Genomic DNA, 4,953 nt, shown 5'->3' on the forward strand with positions numbered 1-4,953 from the left:
TTAATCCTACTTTCTCTCCCGTTTGTCTTTCATAAGCATTGCCTGTCCCAGTGAACCTTGCACTCTTAATTTAGAAACAGATCTCATTATCTGTTTCTCACTTTAAAAATGTAAATTTGCATACATGTAATTTTCTTTGAGGCCATTGCATACTGTGCTGGTTAATTAAGTAAAAAGCTTGATCACCTGAAAGCTATGTCCTTTTTGCCTTGCCACAAGGCTCCAGGCAGTTACTGTATGTTATTGGCTAGTATTTGGGCTTTAAACATCTATACAGTGATGTAGTATTCAAACATTTGAGCTGTTCTCTGTCATTTGTACCCCACGTAGCCTAAATCAGTGGTTACCTCTCCTGGCTTCTAGCAGAATCACTTGGATGACTTTTTCAAAAGACTGATGCCAAAACTCCAGGTCAGGTTACAGTCAGGCTTGCGAAGCAGTAACATATACTCAATGTTGAGAAAATAGATTCCTTTGTCCTTATTTCCAAAGTCCACATTGTGATCCCAGCCCTAGAGTTTCACCACCTTCTAACACTAAGATCCATGGAAAGGCAAACACAGAAGAAAGCATTTGCTTCCATCTTTGTTCATTTATACTGTCCTGAATAAAAACTTCACATTCTCTAACTGAGACTTGATTTTGGTATTCCCAATTTGTACATTCTTGACCCATATCAGAAGTTCCAATAAGTAGAGACCTTAAGCTCCTCCAGAGGGGAAACTATGCCACTAATAATGCTGATCAGAAGCCAGGAAACATAACATAACCTTTGGAAAAATTGATTTCTCCAAATCATCATAGACTTTTCTTGTTATTAAAGAGCTAAAAAACAGAACTGTTTTTTTCTTGTTGTGTTTACATCACTCATGATGTTGTGTTTAATTCTCAGTCTTTCCTTTTATTTGGTTTTGTTTTTCTATTTTTAGTTTACACTTGTGCTTTCATAAGTTAACTCTCTGTTGCCCAGGCTGGAGCGCAGTTGCACGCACATGGCTGACTACTGCCTCGACCTCCCAGGCTCGAGCAATCCTCCCACCTTAACCTTCCAAATAGGTGGAACTACAGGCACTGGCCACCATGCCCGGCTAATTTTTGTATGTCCTCAAGCCACTTTTAATTAAACAATAATAAATTGAAAAGACAAGGTGTGACTGCCAGCACAAATTAAGATGACCTAGTATTCAGAATCTCTCCTCAAGCCATCGCCTCCAGGGAGGCCTGCCTTAGCTTTGCTTACTACTTATTAATGTACCCATTAATATCAGCACATTTACAGACTTAATGACACCACAATGCTTGTGTAGTTTAATTACAAGCAAGAAATCTGTGTCTTAATACATAAAAGACATTTATAGCAATGGATGATAATGGATGTTTATTAGCATATCAACAATTAAAAATTATTTGCCACTTACTCTTTCTTCAAGTTTATAAGGTATAATTTCCATGCTAATTTTATATTAGAAAGAAGAGTTGACAAACTGCTATTAGAATACAGGGATTATAGTGATTGTTCTATTTTATTAATGCAATTTTATTAAACAATAATGCAGTGAAAAGGAATAATTTAAGAGGGACTAAAGCAGGCATTTTTACAAAACATACTGCCTCTGCAATTTTTGCATAGTTTTGATATAATGAAACATCACACAAACATAAATATGAGAAATAAACTTCAGAGGAAATAAATATCTACCTCCAGCTATTACATTTCATTTAGATGGATTAGTTGAGTATGGTATATTAAACAGATACACAATTTCCTATCTCTAGAGATTCAATATGGTTTTCTGACAATTTATATTTGATTAACAGTAATACCAACTACAGAGATTTAATTGGCATTTTATTGAGCCAAAGTAAGTAATATTTTTTGTAAAATGCTGCAAGTATTTTTTTCACCTAATGAATACAAGCCCCAAAATACTGCCGACTTATTGGTAGCTAAATTCGTTTGACTTAATACACCACTTGCTGTGTAAGCAATAACTTGTTCAGCTAGGCCCAAGTTAAGATGTAGGATAAAAATCACAGAGAACAGTGAATGGACTGAAACAGAATGCAGGCTTTCTGTTTTTGGCCCAAACAGTATTTTTAAATAATTGTAATTAGCTAATTTAAAAGCTGATAAATTTCACATTAAAGTCATCCAGAATCTGGCTTTTCTTGAAAAAGCAAAATATTTCCAAATGCTACTCCCACATTCACCCAAGGAAACAGAATGAAGCCAATCATACCTATTTTTTTTCCAAAATGATAAAACAAGGTATTCTGTTTATAGAGTCAGAAAAGATTTATAGAGAGGCCAGGTGTCTGCTTAAGGAAAAATCCATCCAAAATATGGCAAACAATTGTGCTATTTCTAACAAAAATATTTTGCTTCCTTGAAGAATTTTTGTTTGGATGCCTGCAGCCATTTATCTTATCCTGCCTCCTTTTCTCTGGCAGCTAGCAAACACAAAGTCAAGATGAGCTTCTGAAATTCTGCCCAAATCTGCTCTTCTCAAATTCTTTCCTAAACCAATAAACAGCATTGTTTTTCTTCTGGCTGCTTAAATGACAAACTTAGGGTCATTTTGGATACTCTTTTTCTATCATGATTTTTTTTTGTTAATTTTAATAATATATTGACAGTTGTACATATTATGGAGTACCAAGTGTTGTTACAATTTTTTAACAAAATTTGGAATAATTAAAGTGATTAACATATCTAACACATCAAAGTTTAGCTCTTTTTGTGATGAGAATATTAGAAATTTGCTGTCTTAGTGATATTGAATTGTACCATAATCAATTATTAGCTATATTCAACACGCTATGCTATAGATGTAAAAAGAAAAATCAAACTTATCCCTCCTTTCTAAATGAGGCTTTGTACTTTTTGATGATCATCTCTCCATTCTCTCCACCTCTAAGCCTCTGATAACCACCTGATATGGTTTGGCTGTGTCCCCACCCAAATCTCATCTTGAATTGTAGCACCCATAATTCCCACATGTCATGGGAGGGATCTGGTGGGAGGTAATCGAATCACAGGGGTGGGTCTTTCCCTTGCTGTTCTCATGATACTGACTAAGTTTCATGAGATCTGATGCTTTTATAAAAGGGAATTCCTCTACACTAGCTTTTTGCCTGCCACCATGTAAGACATGACTTTGTCCCTCATTTGCCTTCCAACATGGTTGTGAGGCTTCCCCAGCCATGTGGAACTGTGAGTCAATTAAACTTCTTTCCTTTATAAATTATCCAGTCTTAGGTATGTCTTTATTAGCAGCATGAGAGCAAACTAATACACCATCATTCTATTCTCTGCTTTTATGGGTTCAGTTGGTTTAGATTCCACATGTAAATGACAATGTGCATTATTTGTCTTTCTGTGTTTTGCTCATTTCACTTAGCATAATGTTCTTGAATTTCAACCATATTGTATAAATTATAGAATTTCTCCTTTTTAAAGGCTGAATAGTATTCTGTGGTATATATATGCCACATTTTCTTTATCAATTCATCTCTCGATGGAAACTTAGGTTGATTTGATAACTTGGCAACTGTGAATAGCACTGCAATGAACATGGGAGTGCAGACATTCCTTCAACATGGTGATTTCAAATCTTTGGGGTAAATGTCCAGAATGGGATTGCTGGTTGATATGGTAATTCTATGTCTAGTATTTTGAACTGTATTCCATAATAACTTTAGTAACTTGCATTCCCACCAAGAGTAAGGGCTGCATTTTCACTATATCCTTGCCAACACCCACTGTCTTTCACCTTTTTGATTATAGCCATTATAATAATGTGAGATGGTATCTCATTGTGGTTCTAATTTGCATCTCCCTAAGGATTAGTGAGATTAAGCATTATTTCATGTATCTGTTAGCCACTCTGTTGTTTAATTTCCATGTATGTTTTAATTTTCTGAAGTTTCTGGTTTTATTGATTTCTAGTTTTATAATACTGTAGTTAAAAAAGGTATTTGATATAATTTACATTTTCTTAAATTTGCTAAGATTTGTCTCATGGTATAATAAATATAATCTATCCTGAGGAGTGTGGCATGTGCACTTAAGAAGAATGTGTATGCTGTTGCTTTTGAATAGGATGCTCTATATATGTCTATTAGTTCCATTTGTTCTAATGGCTGGAAGTGTTTTGCCTACAGCATTTTGAATACATCATTCCACTCTTTCCTGAATTACAGGGTTTTTGCTGGGAAGTCCATTGATAGTGGTATTGGTACTCTTTTGTGTGATGTATTTCTTCTTTCTCTTTGCTCTCAGAATTTCCCTTTGTCTTTGCTCTTTAAGAGTTTGATCATTATGTGTGGTGAGCTTCCTTAGGGTGAATTTGACTGAAGATCTCTGAACTTTCTGTGCCTGGGTGTTGTCTTATTTCCTCAAATTAGGGAAGTTTTCAGCCATTATTTCTTTAAATATCTTTTTAGAACTTTTTTTTCTTCTTTAACTCCTATTAAGTGTAGGTTAGGTGTCTTGATTGTGTCCCATAATTCCTGTAAGCTTTCTTCATTCTTTTTCATTCTTTCTTCTTGTTGTTGCTCTGATTGGGTGATTTCAAATATTCTGTCTTCAAGCTTATTGATTATTTCCTTTTATGTTCTAGTTTGATTTTAATTAACAAATAATAATTGTACATATATAGAGGGATCACTGTGATGTTTTGATACTTGTGCACATTGTGTAAATATTAAATGAGGATATTTAGTAGAAACATTACCTCAAACATTTATCATTTCCTTGTGGTGAGAACATTCAAAACCCTTTCTTCTAGTTATCTTGAAATATATAATACAATATTGTTAACTCTAGTCACCTTTCTGGGCAATAAAACAGCAGAACTTCTTCCTCCTATGTAACTGTAATTTTGTACCTGTTCACTAATCTCTTTCCATCTGCCCTTCCCCCTACAATCTCCAGCCTCTGGTAACTACCAT

The sequence above is a fragment of the Homo sapiens genome, chromosome 3 (assembly GCF_000001405.40).
Source record: "Homo sapiens chromosome 3, GRCh38.p14 Primary Assembly".
NCBI classification, from domain to species: domain Eukaryota; kingdom Metazoa; phylum Chordata; class Mammalia; order Primates; family Hominidae; genus Homo; species Homo sapiens.